Genomic DNA, 16,721 nt, shown 5'->3' on the forward strand with positions numbered 1-16,721 from the left:
ATTTTATCTCCAGGGTTTCACCTGATATCATAAGAGTCGGGATCCAGTGGAGGCCAGGGGACCCTGGCTTGGCCTAGCCTTGGCTTCTTCCTCCTGCTGGTTGGGGAGGCCCTCCTGGAGGAGAGGCACCAAGCAGGGCCTGGGGGGCAGGGGTGGCGTGTGGTTGGCTTCTAGGCAAGCGACACGTCCCCACCCAACTGCCTCCCATGGCACTGCTGAGGTGCCACCCTGGTTTCCTTGGCAGGCCCACTATTCCACAGGGAAGGTCAGCGCTTCCTTCACCTCCACCGCGATGGTCCCGGAGACCACACATGAAGCAGGTAGCCACCTTGGCCTCTGTAGCCACCTGCCATGTGACCCAAAAGTGGCAGGGGGTGGGTGTGCTCCCCGACTCCCACTTTATTGGTCTGTCAGGGGCTCCCACTGTCACCTGAGCCCCTAGTCCTCCCCCTCTTAGCTGCTGAACCCCTGCCAGCCCCATGAGGCTGGGGTGAGCCTGTGCGTGGCCTAAGCAGACCCTCGGCCTCCAGCTCCCCTGCTCTCCCCAGAGCTGGAGCCTAGTCCCCGCCTGTGTGTCTGAGGTCGGTGCTGCCTGGCATGGTGGGGCTGCCCCAGGGTGAGGGCAGGGGCTGAGCTGGGACCTTGGCTTGTAGCTGCCATCGACGAGGATGTGCTGCGCTACCAGTTTGTGAAGAAGAAGGGCTACGTGCGGCTGCACACCAACAAGGGCGACCTCAACCTGGAGCTGCACTGCGACCTGGTGGGTGTGGAGGCCAGCCACTCCCCATGCCCCAAGGTCATCTCTGGGTCATCTGACAGCCATGTCTTAAATATAGGGCTGCCACTGGTATGTGCTTGTTGTAGGAAATTCAGCCTGTCACTAGGCGGGACCCGCAGCAGTGCCCTGTGTCCTTCCTAGGGGGCCGCGTTGGCAGCATGGCCTGCGCACAGGTGCCAGTGTCTCAGAGAAGGGGCCAAGCCGCACCTGCTGCTCTGCCCACACTTCTCCCATGCGCTGTACTCTGGGCCGTGCGGCTGCACGGGTCCTGTTGCTTAATGTTGTGGGTCCATCCGTGCCCAGTGTGGCTGGGCAGCTGACTCTGCTACATGTTAAAGACCAGCCTGGCCAACATGGGGAAACCCGTCTCTACTAAAACTACAAAAATTAGCCAGGCATGGTGGCGCATGCCTGTAGTCCTGGCTACTCGGGAGGCTGAGGCAGGAGAATGTCTTGAACCTAGGAGGCGGAGGTTGCAGTGAGCCAAGATCGCGCCACAGCACTCCAGCCTGGGCAACAGCAAGACTCCACCTCAAAAAAAAAAAAAAAAAAAAAGCCTCCTGTGGCTGTGGTGAGCTGCCTTTGGCAGCTCTCTGCTTCATACAAGTATTGGGGCTATGTTGCAGACACCAAAAACCTGCGAAAACTTCATCAGGCTTTGCAAGAAGCATTATTACGATGGCACCATCTTCCACAGATCCATCCGGAACTTTGTGGTGAGTGACGAGAGTCACTGGCTGCACAGATGAGCTTGGTGGGACATCGGGGGCTGGGTGGGCTTGTCCCTGCCCCATCCCAGGGCCCTGGCCCATCCCACGGTGGCCAGGATGAGTCCAGTTGGTGATCCTCTGTTGGGGAACCCATAGACTGACCCTTGAGGCCCCAGCCCATCCAGAACTGGGTTCACAAAGGGAGGTGGCTGGGAGGGCCCCTCATTATCACCAAGAGCCCAGCCCCTGTGTGGAGCCATCTGGCAGGAGGGGTGTCCTTCAGTCAGGCAGGCGGTGGGCCTCGGGTCTCAGAGTGTGACTTGCTCACTGGCTTTTGTTTTCACAGATCCAAGGGGGCGACCCCACAGGCACAGGCACGGGTAGGTACTGGTGCTGGGCCCCTCTCTGGGCACTTTGGCTGCTCCGTGGGGCATGAGGGGGTAGCTGGGCAGGGGTTGTGCACAGCTCAGACATGGAATCTGCTAGACCAGGGTGGAACGACTGGCAGCCATCAGTGCTGTGCCCCCTCAGGCCTGGCCCTCAGTTTTCTCATTTCCAGGTGGCTGTGAGGCCTGCATGGTAGAGGAGGCAAGAGTGTGTGGTCTCTTCCCTGGGCCCCTGGGGTCTGCCTCAGACTGAGGCCAGCCCTCCCTCCTGCAGCCTCTCCAAGCCCCTCAGCCTGGCAGCTGCTTGGGTCCAGATCCCCCAACCTCTGTATTCCCATAGCTTGAGTGATGATGATGGTGGCCTTGACTCTTTAATCCCTGTCCCGGGGCAGGCCCCAGGCGGGGCTGGGGTGAGTGGGCAGCAGCCTGCCTGTTTGGAGGCGTGGGGGCTCCAAGGGACCCAGGAGTTGGTGGCGTGGGGCTGGGAGCCTCCCTATCAAGTGCCCCTGCCCCAGGCTGGGCTCAGCAAGGCCCTGATGCCCCTCGGGACTCTGAGGTTTCTAGTTCTGCCTCGGCTGGGGCCCAGGCTTTCCTGCTCCCATGGGCCTTTCTCTTCCAGGTGGGGAGTCATACTGGGGGAAGCCCTTCAAAGACGAGTTCCGGCCCAACCTCTCGCACACGGGCCGCGGCATCCTCAGCATGGCCAACTCCGGGCCCAACAGCAACAGGTCTCAATTGTGAGTCAGCTGGGCTTGCTGGGGTGGCCTGGGAGGTGAGCCGGCACTCTCTGCGGGTTCTTCCTCTTGGCCCTCTCTGAAGGGTGTGCTGGTTCTGAATCATACCCAGACGGTGTACGGCACACCTAGGCCAAGCATGTGCACCTGCGTTCAAAAGGGGGTCCCCAGAGTGAGTCAGCAGGGAGAGCTGCCCGCACCGGGTGTGTCCTCGAGAGACCAGAAGTCGGGAATTACTGGAGGTCCAGAAGGGCTTCTTGACAGGGACCAGGCATTCGTGTGGGTGCCTGTGGCCAGGCAGTGCTGGGGGAGGTCAGCGTGTGGGAGGGGTTGTGCAGGGCACAGGCTGCACAGGGAGAGGCGCCTGGAGAGACACAGGAGGTCTGGCCCTGGTGCATGTGGGGAGCAGTGTGCAGTCTGGTGGCAGGAGGCAGGGGATGGGGGGCCAGCAGGGCCATGCACACAGGGGCCGGATGCCTGTATTGTGGAAGAACAGAGGTGCCCTTTCCATCCCCAGACAGTGGCCTGATGTTATGTTTCAGTCTTTCAATCGTTTTCTTCACATGGGTCCTGTGACTTCCGGGATAAAGCAACCTCTTAAGGATTTTTTATAGTTTATGATACTTTTGTAAATGGACTTTTTTTTTCCCAACTTTTGGGGATCATTGCTCATGTAGAGAAAAACTACCGTTCATTTTATATCTAGCCACTTTAACAAATTATCTTATAATTCAAAAGTTTTTAAGATTTTTTTGGGTTTTCTAGATAGTCACGCTTATCACCAAAAGCTGGTCTGCTCTCTGCTTCCCTGGTGTGCACATCAGTCACGTCACCGTCACGTCACCGTGGGCCTGATGGGGGAGGAGGATGTGGGCATCTTGCTGTGCTCCACAGAAATCGCTGTTTTGCCTTCTCAGAACATTTGTTGTTGGGCTGTTTTTAGGAGGGTGGCTGACTTTTTAGAGGTTTCTTTGTTAGCATCTACTATGATGATTCTGTCCTTTTTCTGGTCCTCCCGGGATTTGTGGATGTGGCCACTACAAGGCCAGAGTGGATGGGTGTCTCCGTGGCATTCTGGGGTGAACCCTGGCCTGTCGTGGCTTCGCCGTGGCCTTCTGCCAGCTCACTGTCACACGTGGTCTCGGTTGTGTGGACTGGCTCCAGCAGGTTTTGCTGTGACAGGTGTGGCCCCTGCATGTTACGAGCAGGGCTGGCTGTGGCTTTGTGGCCTGGAATGGTTAAAATCACAGGGATGGCCAGGCGTGGTGGCTCACACCTGTAATCCCAGCACTTTGGGAGGCTGAGGTAGGTGGATTGCCTGAGCCCAGGAATTCGAGAGCAGCCTGGGCAACATGGCAAAACCCGATCTCTACAAAAAATAAAAAAAATTAGCGGGGCATGGTGGCGTGCGCCTGTAGTCCCAGCTGCTTGGGAGGGTGAGGTGGGGGGATAATCTGAGCCTGGGAAGTCAAAGCTGCAGTGAGCTAGGATCGCGCCACTGCACTCTATCCTGGGCAGCAGTGAGACCCTGTCTGGAAAAAAAAAAAAAAATCAAACGAGTCAGCTGTGCTTAACAGCTGGGCAAAGGCAGCTGGCAGCTATTCGTGCCACTTCCTTGGGGCTTTCATTTCAGGGTTAACGGGCACTTGTTTCCATGAAGGCTGGTATTCTCTTGGCCTCGCTGTGCTGACCTTTTTTTCTCATGCCTAATCACACTTTCCATTCCTCAGTCCCTTAGTGGTCTTTGAAGGGTTTGTCTGTTTTCACTTCACTTTGAAGGGTTTGTAATTGTTTTCAGTTTCTGTCTTTGCTTCTTCATGGTGCTTTTCCTCCTTCCTCACTTTAATCCATGTGTGTTTCTGATAGCCACGTCTGTCATTTTGAGGGTGCATGTTCCCTCTTCACTGCTTGCTGGTTGTTGGTAGCTTCCCTTTCAATTTCTTCTCAGCCAAGGATTGCCTAGGACTGTTGGTTATTTTCAAGTAGGTTGGGTGCGTGGTTTGTTTTTGTTGTTTGGCAGGGGCCAGGGCAGGGAATCATTTTATTATTTTTTATTTCTCTTTGGCTTAACCAGCCTGTGAAACTGCTGACAGATCAGTTGCCACCTTCTCTTTTTTTTTTTTTTTTTTTTTTTTGAGATGGAGTTTCACTCTTGTCACCCAGGCCGGAGTGCAATGGCGGGATCTCGGCTCACTGCAACCTCTGCCTCCTGGGTTCAAGCGGTTCTCCTGGGATTACAGACGCCCACCACCACACCAGGATAATTTTTTGTACTTTAGTAGAGACAGGGTTTCACCATGTTGGCCAGGCTGGTCTCCAACTCCTGACCTCAGGTGATCCACCCACCTCAGCCTCCCAAAGTGCCGAGATTACAGGCATGAGCCACCACACTCGGCCTTCTTTTCTTATTTCTAGTAGTATTTTGTGCTTTCTTGGACAACTGTTGCCAAAGGTTTGCCTATTTTACCGTATTCAAAGATCATTAGACTTTAATTTGTTACAGCTTTGTTTTCCCTTTTGTGATTCTTGTAATTAAAGATTTTCCAGGAGGAGGCCAGGCGCGGTGGCTCATGCCTATAATCCCAGCACTTTGGGAGGCCGAGGCAGGCGGATCACGAGGTCAGGAGATCGAGACCATCCTCGCTAACACGGTGAAACCCCATCTCTACTAAAAATACAGAAAACTAGCCGGGCATGGTGGCAGGCGCCTGTAGTCCCAGCTACTCAGGAGGCTGAGGCAGGAGAATGGCGTGAACCCAGGAGGCAGAGCTTGCATTGAGCCGAGATCGCGCCACTGCACTCCAGCCCTCCAGCCTGGGTGACAGAGCGAGACTCCGTCTCCAAAAAAAAAAAAAGATTTTCTAGGAGGAGCTTGCCTCAGGATGGTTCTTTTACTTTCCTCTTATCTGAGTTTAATTCTGCTTCTAGTTTCCTTCACTGTGTTAGAAATCAGCAAGAGAGGGAACTGCTTGCAGGTCAGAGCTCAGGTCTGCACCGTTGCAGATGTCACATCTGCGGACACTTGTCTGGTGGCCTCGGGTGTGGTCAGACTTGGTGGGCTCAGGAGCGTGTCCCTGCGTGGCTGGGGGGTGCATGTTTGATGCAGTGGAGGTTAAGTCCTGTGTCTCACCAGCCGGGTTGTGGGCTGTGCCTGCCTGCACCACCCTGGGGAGTGCTCCGTGCCGCCAGCGCCGGGACCCACCCCATGTCTTCCATCGTTTTCTTTTCAGCCTCTCTGGCTCTGCCCTCTGAGGGCTTTTTGAAGGCTCACAGCTGGGGTCTGTCGTGTTCTCCTTCATCCTGACAGTCTTTTTTTTTTTTTTCTTTGAGACGGAGTCTCGCTCCGTCCCCCAGGCTGGAGTGCAGCGGCGCGATCTCGGCTCACTGCAAGCTCCGCCTCCCAGGTTCATGCCATTCTCCTGCCTCAGCCTCCCTAGTAGCTGGGACTACAGGCGCCCGCCACACGCCTGGCTAATTTTTTGTATTTTTAGTAGAGATGGGGTTTCACCGTGTTAGCGAGGATGGTCTCGATCTCCTGACCTTGTGATCCGCCCACCTTGGCCTCCCAAAGTGCTGGGATTACAGGCGTGAGCCACTGTGCCTGGCCAATCCTGACAATCTTAAATGTGGACTTAATTCTTCAGGTGGTCTGTTGCGTTCTATGATCTTGTTGCTTTCTAGTTACCATTTTTTATATTTATTTTCATTTGCTTCTCTTCTCTTTCTGCTGGTTTGGAAATTAGATGTTTTACTTCTGGTCTAAGGTTAAGAAGGACATCTATTTAAAGTCCAAAGTTGGCCAGGTGCAGTGGCTCACGCCTGTAATCCCAGCACTTTGGGAGGCCAAGGCAGGTGGATCACAAGGTCAAGAGATTGAGACCATCCTGGCTAACACAGTGAAACCCCGTCTCTACTAAAAATGCAAAAAAATTAGCTGGGCGTGATGGCGGGCGCCTGTAGTCCCAGCTACTCAGGAGGCTGAGGCAGGACTATGACATGAACCTGGGAGGCGGAGCTTGCAGTGAACCGACATCGCGCCACTGCACTCCAGCCTGGGGGACAGAGCAAGATTCCATCTCAAAAAAAAAAAAAAAAGTCCAAAGTTATGAGGTAGTCTCTGCCTTCCTCCCAGACCAGGCTGGCAGAAACTCTCTCCTCGTCTCATGGCAGTGCTGTTGGCTGTTTTAATTCCACCCCATTTCCTTTTTTCTTTTTCTTTTTTCTTGAGACAGACTCTGTCGCCCAGGCTGGAGTGCAGTGGTGTGATCTCAGCTTACTGCAACCTCTGCCTCCCAGGTTAAAGCGATTCTCCTGCCTTGGCCTCCTAAGTAGTTGGGACTACAGGCACACGCCACCACGCCCAGCTAATTTTTGTATTTTTAATAGGGACAGGGTTTTACCATGTTGGCCAGGCTGGTCTCCAACTCCTGGCCTCAAGTGATCTACCTGCCTTGGCCTCCCAAAGTGCTGGGATTACAGGCGTGAGCCACTGTGCCTGGACGACCTGAGCATTTTCTTAGTCCATGTTTATTTATGTTACCCACGTTTCTTAATCCCTTGACTCCTGTTCTGGCTTTGTTGCCTCCTTTCTCCTCAGTCCTTCAACAGGTCCCTTGATGACATGGGGCTGGCTCTGGTTTTCCAGGTGTCCCCTCGTCCCAGCCACCTCCCACAGAGCTGCATGGCCAACCTGGTTCTGGGCACAGGGACCACCTGACAGGCAGTGGGCAGCAGCCGGGGCAGCAGGAAGACCTGGGGACAGCTGGAGTTCCGGGGTCCCCTGGGCAGCCTTGGGGGCTAATGACCTGCCCTGGTGGGCAGCGCAGGGAACCACGTGCACACATGCGTCCGTGGAAGCTGCAGGTTCCCAGAGCTGGCTGTAGAGGGTGGGCAGCTCCTGGTGTGCTCTTAGGCAGGCCAGGTGCAGAAGGTGCCATGCTCTCCCTAACCATCCAGCCCTCCTCCCCAGCTTCATCACGTTTCGCTCCTGTGCCTACCTGGACAAGAAGCATACCATCTTTGGACGGTAAGGGAAGCGGCTGTGTGAAGCCTGGGGGGTCAGTGGGCTAGGTGGGTTCCTTCCCCACCTGAGGCCTCCTCACTGCCTTTTTCGTGGACCTGAGTCATGTGCCATGCTGGCCATCACTGCTGGGGGTTGAGGCTATGCAGAGCTGCGATGGAGGGTGCTCCATGTGCCAGGGAAGTCTGGCTCTCTAGACCCACCGGGCTCAGGAGAGGAGGAAACTCGCCCATGTGGCCTGGACACTGCCCTGTCTCAGACCCAGTGGCGCGCCACTCGCAAGCCTGGCCACACCCAGCTCCCTTCACCCTCTAGTCCAGGGGTCTTTCCAGCGTTGTGGGCCACGTGGTCTCTGACGCCCACCCAGCTGTGTGGAAGCAGCACGAAACAGGGTGGACGCAGGTGATGTGGTTCTGGCCAAGTGGAACTCTGTTTACCAAACCAGCGGGGAGAGCACAAGCCACGTTTTGTGACTCCTATTTTTCCTGTGGGTGGGGGAAACCAAAAAAAAAACAAAAACAGAAAAAAACCCAGCTGGATATGCCCAGGGCCATGGTCAGCCGACCCCGCCCTTGCCACTCCCTCTCATCGCCTTCCTGGCTGCTGCCCAAGGACCACCAGGCCAGCCTCGGGGCTCTCAACCCCTCTTCCCACGTGCCTTGGGGCTCAGCCGTGGGGGTGCCCTCCTTGAGCACACGCAGACCCACCTCTGTCTCCCTGCTGCAGGGTTGTTGGGGGCTTTGACGTACTGACAGCCATGGAGAATGTGGAGAGTGACCCCAAAACTGACCGCCCTAAGGTCTGTGCCCAGGGAGGTGGGGCGTGGCGGCTGGGGGCCAGGCAGGCAGGGGGAGGACCTGCCGTGCACTGAGCCCCCTTTGCTGCTAGGAGGAGATCCGCATTGATGCCACTACAGTGTTCGTGGACCCCTATGAGGAGGCCGATGCCCAGGTGAGGGGGCACGATGCCACCACCTAGGAGGGTCTGGGCTAGTGCACTTTTCCACCCCAAGCCTAGCATCTGTCCTGCCCGAGGTGCTGCCGGTTAGCCAGCGCCCTGTTGTGCCACAGATTGCGCAGGAGCGGAAGACACAGCTCAAGGTAGCCCCGGAGACCAAAGTGAAGAGCAGCCAGCCCCAGGCAGGGAGCCAGGGCCCCCAGACCTTCCGCCAGGGCGTGGGCAAGTACATCAACCCAGCAGCCACGTGAGTGCCGCGGGGCTGGCCTCCCTGTTTCCCATGGTGTTTCCTAGGGCTGACTGAGGTCTGAGGGTCAGACCCAGAGGGGCAAGCAAGCTATGGGCACTGGTCCCGGCCGTGGGCTTGTGCTGTGTGGCCTCTGCAGCCGAGGGACTGCCTCTGAAGGCCTGGCCGGGGCCTCTGTGGGTGGAAGAGATCAAATTCAGGGGGATGTGGGAGCAGCAGGTGGGAGGGGTTGGGCCTACACCGGGAGGGCTGTATGGAGACACAGACAAGTCAGGAGGGGCTGAGGGAGGGTGTGGGCTCCCAGCGGCTTCTTCTCTTCCCAGGAAGCGAGCAGCAGAGGAAGAGCCCTCAACCAGTGCCACTGTCCCCATGTCCAAGAAGAAGCCCAGTCGGGGTTTTGGGGACTTCAGCTCCTGGTAGCAGCAGGTTGGCCGCTGTGGACCTTGGTGGGGTTGCAGGGCTGGGGGCCCATGTCCACATCTCCATTTCCAGCCTTTCTAGCCTGCCCTCTGCTGCCAGCCAATAAATTGCTTGCCTGCTGCCTGCATCCCCTTTCCTGGCCCCTGGGAGCCCACAGCCTTCCCATCCCTTAACCTGTTGCCAAGGGCCTTGGCCCTGTTTCCAGGACCTGGCCCAGCCAGAGCCCACTGCTGGGACCTTCAAGCACAAGGCCTGCCCTACACCCAGGCTGGTGCCTCAGGCCTCCCCTCTAGTAGGCAGGCCAGGTTAGTGAGGAAGGACTGTGTCTCCAGATTGTGGTTTCCTCTTTAAGACAGGGTCTTGCTCTGTTGCCCAGGCTCCAGTGCAGTGGTGTGATCATGGCTCACTGCAGCCTCGACCTCCTGGGCTCAAGCAATCCTCCTGCCTCAGCCTCGCAAGTAGCTGGGACTACAGCCGTGCACCACTACATCCAGCTGTATATGTCTGGTTTTCTTACCCCTACTTCTGTCATCTTCTCAGGGACAGCCTATTTATACAACCAGTGTGGTCCCCTGACCAACGCCATTACCTGGGACAAGTTTTCAGACCCCAGACTTACTGAGCCTAAGCCTCTGCAGGGTGGGCTTCTCGGTCTGTTTTGACAAAACTTCAGGGGCTTCTGAAGGCTGGTGTTGGACGGCAGCATTGAGTTTCCTGCCGTGCCCTGCCTGAGCTCTCAGGGCCCTGCTCACCTGCTCTGGCTGTGAACCACCTGGGCTTCATCTCAAGCCTGCCTGGCGTCTCTGTGCCCCTGTGAGAATCTTGAGGGGACCCACACTGGGTTGAGGCCAGTGTCTCCTGCTGTGAGAACAAGTGGATGTCCCTCTCCCCGCCCTCCTGCTGAAGTGGCCTTGCTGCTCTCAGGCCCGGCCACTGGGCTCCAAGACTCTGCTCCTCCTGTCAGTCACTGACTCTGATGGCCTTGGGCCAGCTGCATCAGCAGCCCTTAAAGAAAGACCCCTCCCTCAACCCCCATTTTTCTGTTAAATGTGCCCCTGGCTGGCTTTTTCTTCGTCTTCAGCCCAGGCCAGTGGTCAGTGTTCTCATGTCATGGACTCTCCTTGCCTGACACTTGCCTCTTGGGCTCCCTGTTGCCCTCAGGCCACCCCCCACTTCTAGTTCTTCACACTAAGCCCTAACTTAGGCCTTGTTCTTGGTTTTCTCATTTTTGTTGCCCCAAATCTTGAACCTGTCAGCAACTTGCAGGCTGTACCTCTGCCCTTCCTTTTCTCATCAATCACTGATGCTGAAGCTGCAGGCCTGAGCCCTTTGTCTCCCTGGATGCTGGGTGGCGCCTCATCTGCATCTCTGCCTCACCCCATCCACTGCCACAGGCTGCCTGATGACCACTAGAGGTATGTCTGCCCCTCGTCACCCTGCTGCACACCAATCTGTGGCCCTTCATCATGCTAAGAACAAGAACTGCGCCATGGCTGGCTCCTTCTCTTCTCCAGCCCATCCCTCTGCAGCCTGTCATCCCTGTCTGTGACCATTGGTCGGGCCCCTGGGCTCTAGAGTGACTTTTGACGCCCTCCATCCCTCCCGCCAGGCACTGTCCTCCGCAAGGCCTGGTGCAGCCCTGGCAGTAACTGGCTTGTAAGAGGCTCAGACACCAAGCTGGGCCTGCAGAGGAGGGGCACAGTAGGACACAGTGACTGCCCAGGTGTCCACACACCTGTAGGCCTCTGAGCCAGCGTCCAGGGTACAGGTGCGGGTGGTGGGGATGAAGGCCTGACCAGGGAGGGAGAAGCAGGTTTGGAGAGGACCCTGTGCCCACCCTGACAGACACCCTGGCTGGCCCTGACTGACTGTATTCTCTGGCCACATTCAAGTCCCCCATTGGTGGGGGCAGAGAAGTAGGACCAGGCCATCCTTGGCTCCAGAGCTCGAAGACCCCAAGACAGCCCTCTGCTCTCAGCGGCGCCACAGAGAGCCTGGGCTCAGCCTTCTGCATCAGGACATGGCCTCGTCCACTGAGGGCACGATTTAAACATTTGACATCAGAAGCTTTATTTGTAAACCTCACACAGATAAGGACCAAGGGCTGGCGGTGTGGCCAGAGGACAGGGGAAGCTGAAGGCCCCGTGCTTGAGCTCGGCAGTCCTGCTCCTTGCAGTGAAGCCACCATGGGTGACCGTCCAGCCTCACCCGGTGGCCTGCACAGTGAGGGAAGGGCTTCAGGGCCATCTGCTCCCAGGGCAGGGGACAGGCCACCAAGGACCTTTGGCAAATGAAGGTTTACATTTCTGTAGTTTGTTTGTTTTAGAGCTTAATTTGTAGTTTTTTAGCTATTAAAACCATTTGAATTTTTAACGACCTGATGAGGGCATCAGGTAAATTAAAGGATTTTGGGAAGATTCTTATTTTCAATTCTAATATCTGACAGATGCCATCAAGAATAAGCATTAAGGTATAAAAAATACTGTGTGTATAAAACAATGCCAAACCACATTCCTACAGCAAATGCACTGTGCCATTTATAACCCTGACATCACCTCCCAAGGCTCTCAAGGAAGATTTATTTTAAATAACTTAAATAGAAGTCCTAGATGATATTGTTTAGGAATTTAAGAGGGTGGTGGATATGGTCCTGTGAATAGCACTTCCCCTGAAGCCAGCTCATGGTCTGTTCATTTGGTTTAAAAATGAGCTTGTATTTTGCAGAAGCCCAACAAAAAAAAAGTGATAAAAGTGTTGTTGGTATAAATTACAAAAAAAAAAAAAAATACAAAAGTCATAAGACTACTAGTAAAAAATGTTCAATCAATGCCGTCACAAAAGACAGTACAAAAACCAAAGTGCCCAAATAGAAGGAGCAGCGAACTTGCCCAAAACAGAAAAGCTCTAAATAGAACTTTAGTATATACAAAAACCACTCGGTAGAGTTTTAGAAGTTTCTTCCATGTAAGTGAAGCATCTTGAGTCACTCAGGACTTGGCTGTCCTCGCACCCGTGGCAGGCTGGGGACGGCACGAACCTCCAACTGTTTCCCCTAGTCCCCGGGGCATCGGAGGCTGGGTTCCCACATGGGAGAGGAATGAAGACTCACTCAAAGGGAAGGGTCAGTTTAAGATAAGTTTTCAGTGAACTCCTTCTTCCACCCGGGAAGGTGTCTTTCAGCCTCTTCACAGTCTCAAGACAATTGACTGAAGCCACAGGCATTGCTAACTTCATGGGCCAGCTTGTGGGCGGAGCCTCTTCAGGCTTGAGACCATGGCAGCAAGAGCCCTGCAGCGTGCAGTGACCCCTGCGCTCTGGGTGGCTGCACGCGAGCTCAGGAGGACAGGATGTGCTGGGCCAGCCTAAACCCTCGGGGGAGACTAGCGCAGGGATAAAGCAGCTTGCAGGGCCATAGCCGGATGTGGAGGCTTCCAAGACAGTACAAAGATTTCCTTCCTTTCCTAAGTGGAAGATGTGCTTTAAAGGAACTTCTGCCTCTGTCACTCCTGCTGAGTGGATGCATCTCAGTGCCATGCCCACCAGGGCAGCGGCATTTCCCACCTGCCAAGGCTTCCAGGCTTGGGCAAAGAGATGGCACCCAAAGGCATGCTGTGTGTGGGCAGTGAGCTCGAGTGGGCACAGCCCAGTGCCTGCCTGGACCGCAGGTCTGGGTTTAGGAAGGGCTGAAGTCGGGGGAGGTGTGAAGCTGGGCAGGTGGCCACGTTCTTATTGTCAGCCAGCTCGCACTCTTGCCCCTAGACTAGCCTTGTCTGAAGGCAGCTTCAGAGCCACTTGCCAGGCTGAGAACTATCCGGGCTCAGTGCTCTCCTATCTGCTGCCCCTCGGTCCCCCTGCCTGCCCTCTGCCCTGAGACAAGTTACTAAATGTTGAAAACCAAACTTATCTGGGAGTGGTTTTTGACCTCCATCCTCTGCAAAGTGGCCTAAACCCTTATGGGGTGCCCACTCCTGGTGGAGGGCAGGTGGATGAGTGGATTGTAATTTATAATAAAATATATGGCAGAAACACAGGCCTTAGGAGATTGCACAGGCCCCTCTATCAGTTCAAGTGACATGGGACAGCACCACGCAGGGACGGGCAACGCGTCTAGCAGGCCAGGCGTCTTCATGCACAAAGGCTAAACTTGTTGCTTTAACCTTTTCTGAACAAATTTTAAACATTCTGGCAAATGTCAAGTTTTGAAGTTTTTCCTGTGGGTTCTGGCCTCTTTCATATGCAAAAATAATTCTTTTTCTTCAAGTACATCCAGGGTAGAAAATGAAATCTGACTTTTCCTCGGTCCAGTGTGTTACTCTATAGACATGGACCAGCCACTCAGCAACTGCCTGACACCTAAGCTGCTGTCACTGCTGAGGGCACAACCCCTGGTACCAGACCCTGTGAGGCTGTCACCTCAGTAAGGGCACCTCTGCGGGCCCCGGGACAGCCTTCTCTAAGGGCTAGCTCACCTGCTTTCTAGATAAGGAATCTACTGGCTTAAATAAACATGTTCCACTAGACACCATTCTCAATTTAGAGTGTATCTAAAATGTCATCTGTGCTGGCCTCTGTTTTTGAACAAGCTAAAAACCAAAAATGCCCTTAGTGTATAAGTCTGTTGACTGCCTCTGGAAGATTCTTAAATAACACTGTACTTTAAGGGTTCATTTGCAAGAGGAATAGCCAATTTGAAGTTCTGCAAATTTAAGAAAAACAGCGGGGTGGAGGGTGGGCTACAATACCTTTTCTCTAAAAAAGGGAATGGTGAGACTTGCTATCTAAAGAGACCCTGTCCCTGTGGTCTTCAGAGACTCAGTCTGGTTCTCTCTTGTTTTAAATTGAGACGGAGTCTCGCCCTATTGCCAGGCTGGAGTGCAGTGGCGCGATCTTGGCTCACTGCAACCTCCGCCTCCTGGGTTCAAGTGATTCTCGTGCCTCAGCCTCCCGAGTAGCTGGGATTAAAGGCATGCGCCACCATACCCAGCTTTTTTTTTTTTTTTTGAGACGATGTCTCACTTTTGTCCCCCAGGCTGGAGTGCGATGGCATGATCTTAGCTCACTGCAACCTCCGTGTCCCAGGTTCAAGTGATTCTCCTGCCTTAGCCTCCTGAGTAGCTAAGATTACAGGCACTCGCCACCATGCCCGGCTAATTTTCGTATTTTTAGTAGAGATGGGGTTTCACCATGTTGGCCAGGCTGATCTAGAACTCCTGACCTCAGGTGATCCACCCATCTTGGCCTCCCAAAGTGCTGGGATTACAGGCGTGAGCCACCGCACCCGGCCCCAGTTTGGTTTTCAACTGAACCTTAAAAAAGCAGAGCCCAACTATATTGAAGACAAAGGTGAAAGGAAGATATTAACTAGGCAGGTAAGTCATCAGTTGGTTAATTCTTTCTCTAGAACTTGAGAAGTTAGAAAAAGCTCATTGAAAATTTTCAGAAACAACTGTGTACACGAAGAGGACAGATCCGAGGGACACCTTACCCACAGAGATGGCCGAGAGTGTCAAGAGCTATGCGCAGCTAGCCTTTGAGGTCAGAGGGCAAGAAAGGCTGTCACCAGATGCTCCTACGTTTCCATTACATTCACAGTTTCTTTCACAAAACAGCATTCAAAGGAGAAGGGAAAGTTCGCACATTACTCCCAGCCATTGTCTTTGATCATATGAGCAAGCTCAATGATGAATTTTCCTTCCTTATATTTCTGACTGCTCTCAAAGGCATGCTCCTTGAAAAAGAAGAGACAAAGGTTTCAGGACAGAAGGTTTCACTTTTCAATTTCATCACTCTTTTGGCAAAAACCCCCCCCAAGTCTATACTATGAACTATATACCCAGATGTTCCCTGAGCGGTGCACTCATCCGGCGCTGGGAGGGTCTGTTCCAGGTGAGTCCATTGAGGCAGTGTAGGTTTACTTTGCATTTGTTGTTAAAGGTTTTTCATGTGCTCGCTTCGGCAGCGCATATACTAAAAGGTTTTTCATTTGTTTGTTTGTTTTGAGATAAGGTCTCACTCTGTCACTCAGGCTGGAATGCAATGGTCTGGTCATAGCTCACTGCAGCCTTGACCTCCAGGACTCAAGTGATCCTTCCACCTCAGGCTCCCAAAGTGCTGGGATTACTTGTAGGACAGTGTGAATGCAGATCTGTTTACTGAACATTTACTACATGTGGGACAATTTAAGAGGCTTGAAGAGATGCAAAAGACTACACTCCAGGAATTCCGTGCATAACTAGCGTGAAGGCAAATACAGGGAGAGTGACATAAACAGGTCAAAGACATCTGGAGGCTGGGCGCAGTGGTGCACACCTGTCATTCCAGCACTTTGGGAGGCCAAGGAAGGAGGATGACTTGAGTCCAGGAGTTTGAGACAAGCCTACGCAACACAGTGATTTTCTTCTACAAAAATCAAAAACTTAGCTGGGTGTGGTGTGCCTGTAGTCCCAGGTACTTGGGAGGTTGAGGTGGGAGGACTGCTTCAGCCCAGAAGGTCAAAGCTGCAATGAGCTGAGATCGACCAAGACCCTGTCTCAAAAAACAACAACAAAAAACAGGATATCTGGAGAAGGTCCTTCATGGGGAGGAGTTAACATCTCTCCCACAGACACATCCTCATCATTTTGTTTTGCTGAGTGTGTGGCCTGGTGCTAGGGACACAGATGACCAAGATGGATCCTGCCTACCCAAGCGGCAGCCCCAGGTGTGGCAGACACAGGAAGGACTGTGCCAGCAGGAAGCGGGTGCAGCCATAGAGGGGAATGCAGTGTGGTGGCCATGCAGGGAAGGCACGGGTTTCTGGAAGTGGGGCCCACAGATGGGTATGGGGCTGACTGACCAGGGGAAGGGCTAGGGATGCGTGCTAGTCTTGTGGAGCCCGTTTCCATGGTGTGAACTGTGGCCTTCCAAAACTCATGAGGAATCTGGGAGACCAGAGATGATCAGGAATTCAGGAAAGAGGCAGAGCAGGTGGCCTGGACCCGAAGAACACCAGAGCCAGAATGGGAAAGCCTCCTTCAACAAAGGCAGGCAGGCCGGGCGCGGTGGCTCACGCCTGTAATCCCAGCACTTTGGGAGGCTGAGGTGGGTGGATCACTTGAGGTCAGGAGTTTGAGACCATCTCAAAAAACAAACAAAACAACAACAACAACAACTGGGGAAGGCATGGGAGCATCCAACAGAAGGCAGATGGCCAGGGGGTCAAAACCATGGAATCTCAGGTGGCCTGGGGGAGGGGAGGACTCGGCCACGAAGGTCAGAGAGAGTGGAGCCTGGAAGAGAGACTTCAGGGCAGCGTAGAGGAGGGAAGCGGGGCAGGAAGGTGCAGGGCCTGAGGAGGCCAGATCAGCCATGTGGTGGAGAGAGAAGGGAGCTAGAGGTGAAGGCTGGAGAGGAGGTGGCGATTGCAACCTTCAATTCAAGGTCCCTGAGAAAGAGGGATTTGGGGTAAAGAGCTCATGGGGCAGCTCTCT

At 54.2% G+C, this 16,721-nt stretch overlaps 2 protein-coding genes across 15 annotated transcripts in view, besides 3 other annotated features; one reads left to right on the top strand and one right to left on the bottom strand.

Moving 5' to 3' along the window:
* The window catches only part of PPIL2 (peptidylprolyl isomerase like 2), a 34,004-nt gene extending 20,227 nt beyond the window's left edge, over positions 1 to 13,777 (top strand). For 3 of the 11 annotated variants that reach the window (XM_011530049.3, XM_011530041.4, XM_047441268.1), the window contains 11 exons: positions 245 to 320; positions 654 to 760; positions 1,405 to 1,494; positions 1,835 to 1,868; positions 2,494 to 2,611; positions 7,578 to 7,634; positions 8,355 to 8,427; positions 8,517 to 8,579; positions 8,699 to 8,832; positions 9,160 to 9,258; positions 9,629 to 11,669. In XM_011530049.3, the coding sequence (XP_011528351.1) occupies positions 245 to 320; positions 654 to 760; positions 1,405 to 1,494; positions 1,835 to 1,868; positions 2,494 to 2,611; positions 7,578 to 7,634; positions 8,355 to 8,427; positions 8,517 to 8,579; positions 8,699 to 8,832; positions 9,160 to 9,258; positions 9,629 to 9,914 (1,137 nt within the window). In that variant the 3' untranslated portion in view covers positions 9,915 to 11,669. Of the gene's footprint in view, positions 1 to 244; positions 321 to 653; positions 761 to 1,404; positions 1,495 to 1,834; positions 1,869 to 2,493; positions 2,612 to 5,146; positions 5,941 to 7,577; positions 7,635 to 8,354; positions 8,428 to 8,516; positions 8,580 to 8,698; positions 8,833 to 9,155 lie in introns of those variants that run through there. The other 8 variants (NM_148175.3, NM_001317996.2, XM_011530046.4 and 5 more) reach the window with 8 other exon arrangements.
* Positions 638 to 1,138: an enhancer, noted in NCBI's record as "H3K4me1 hESC enhancer chr22:22041165-22041665 (GRCh37/hg19 assembly coordinates)". NCBI's record gives its function as "activates a minimal SCP1, AML or CMV promoter by ChIP-STARR-seq in naive H9 embryonic stem cells {active_cell/tissue: H9 hESC(naive)}" and the evidence as "EXISTENCE:reporter gene assay evidence [ECO:0000049][PMID:30033119]".
* Positions 2,756 to 2,805: an enhancer, noted in NCBI's record as "active region_18702". NCBI's record gives its function as "activates an Ori minimal core promoter by ATAC-STARR-seq in GM12878 lymphoblastoid cells {active_cell/tissue: GM12878}" and the evidence as "EXISTENCE:reporter gene assay evidence [ECO:0000049][PMID:35858748]".
* Positions 4,071 to 4,180: an enhancer, noted in NCBI's record as "active region_18703". NCBI's record gives its function as "activates an Ori minimal core promoter by ATAC-STARR-seq in GM12878 lymphoblastoid cells {active_cell/tissue: GM12878}" and the evidence as "EXISTENCE:reporter gene assay evidence [ECO:0000049][PMID:35858748]".
* Positions 11,298 to 16,721, bottom strand: part of YPEL1 (yippee like 1) — a 38,259-nt gene continuing 32,835 nt past the window's right edge. For all 4 annotated transcript variants that reach the window (NR_130910.2, NM_013313.5, XM_047441355.1 and 1 more), the window contains exon 5: positions 11,298 to 14,980. Coding sequence is in view for 3 of the 4 variants with exons in the window: in NM_013313.5 (NP_037445.1) it covers positions 14,891 to 14,980 (90 nt within the window). In the remaining variant the exon portion in view is untranslated. The remainder of the gene's footprint in view (positions 14,981 to 16,721) is intronic.

Source organism: Homo sapiens, chromosome 22, assembly GCF_000001405.40.
Source record: "Homo sapiens chromosome 22, GRCh38.p14 Primary Assembly".
Lineage (NCBI taxonomy): Eukaryota > Metazoa > Chordata > Mammalia > Primates > Hominidae > Homo > Homo sapiens.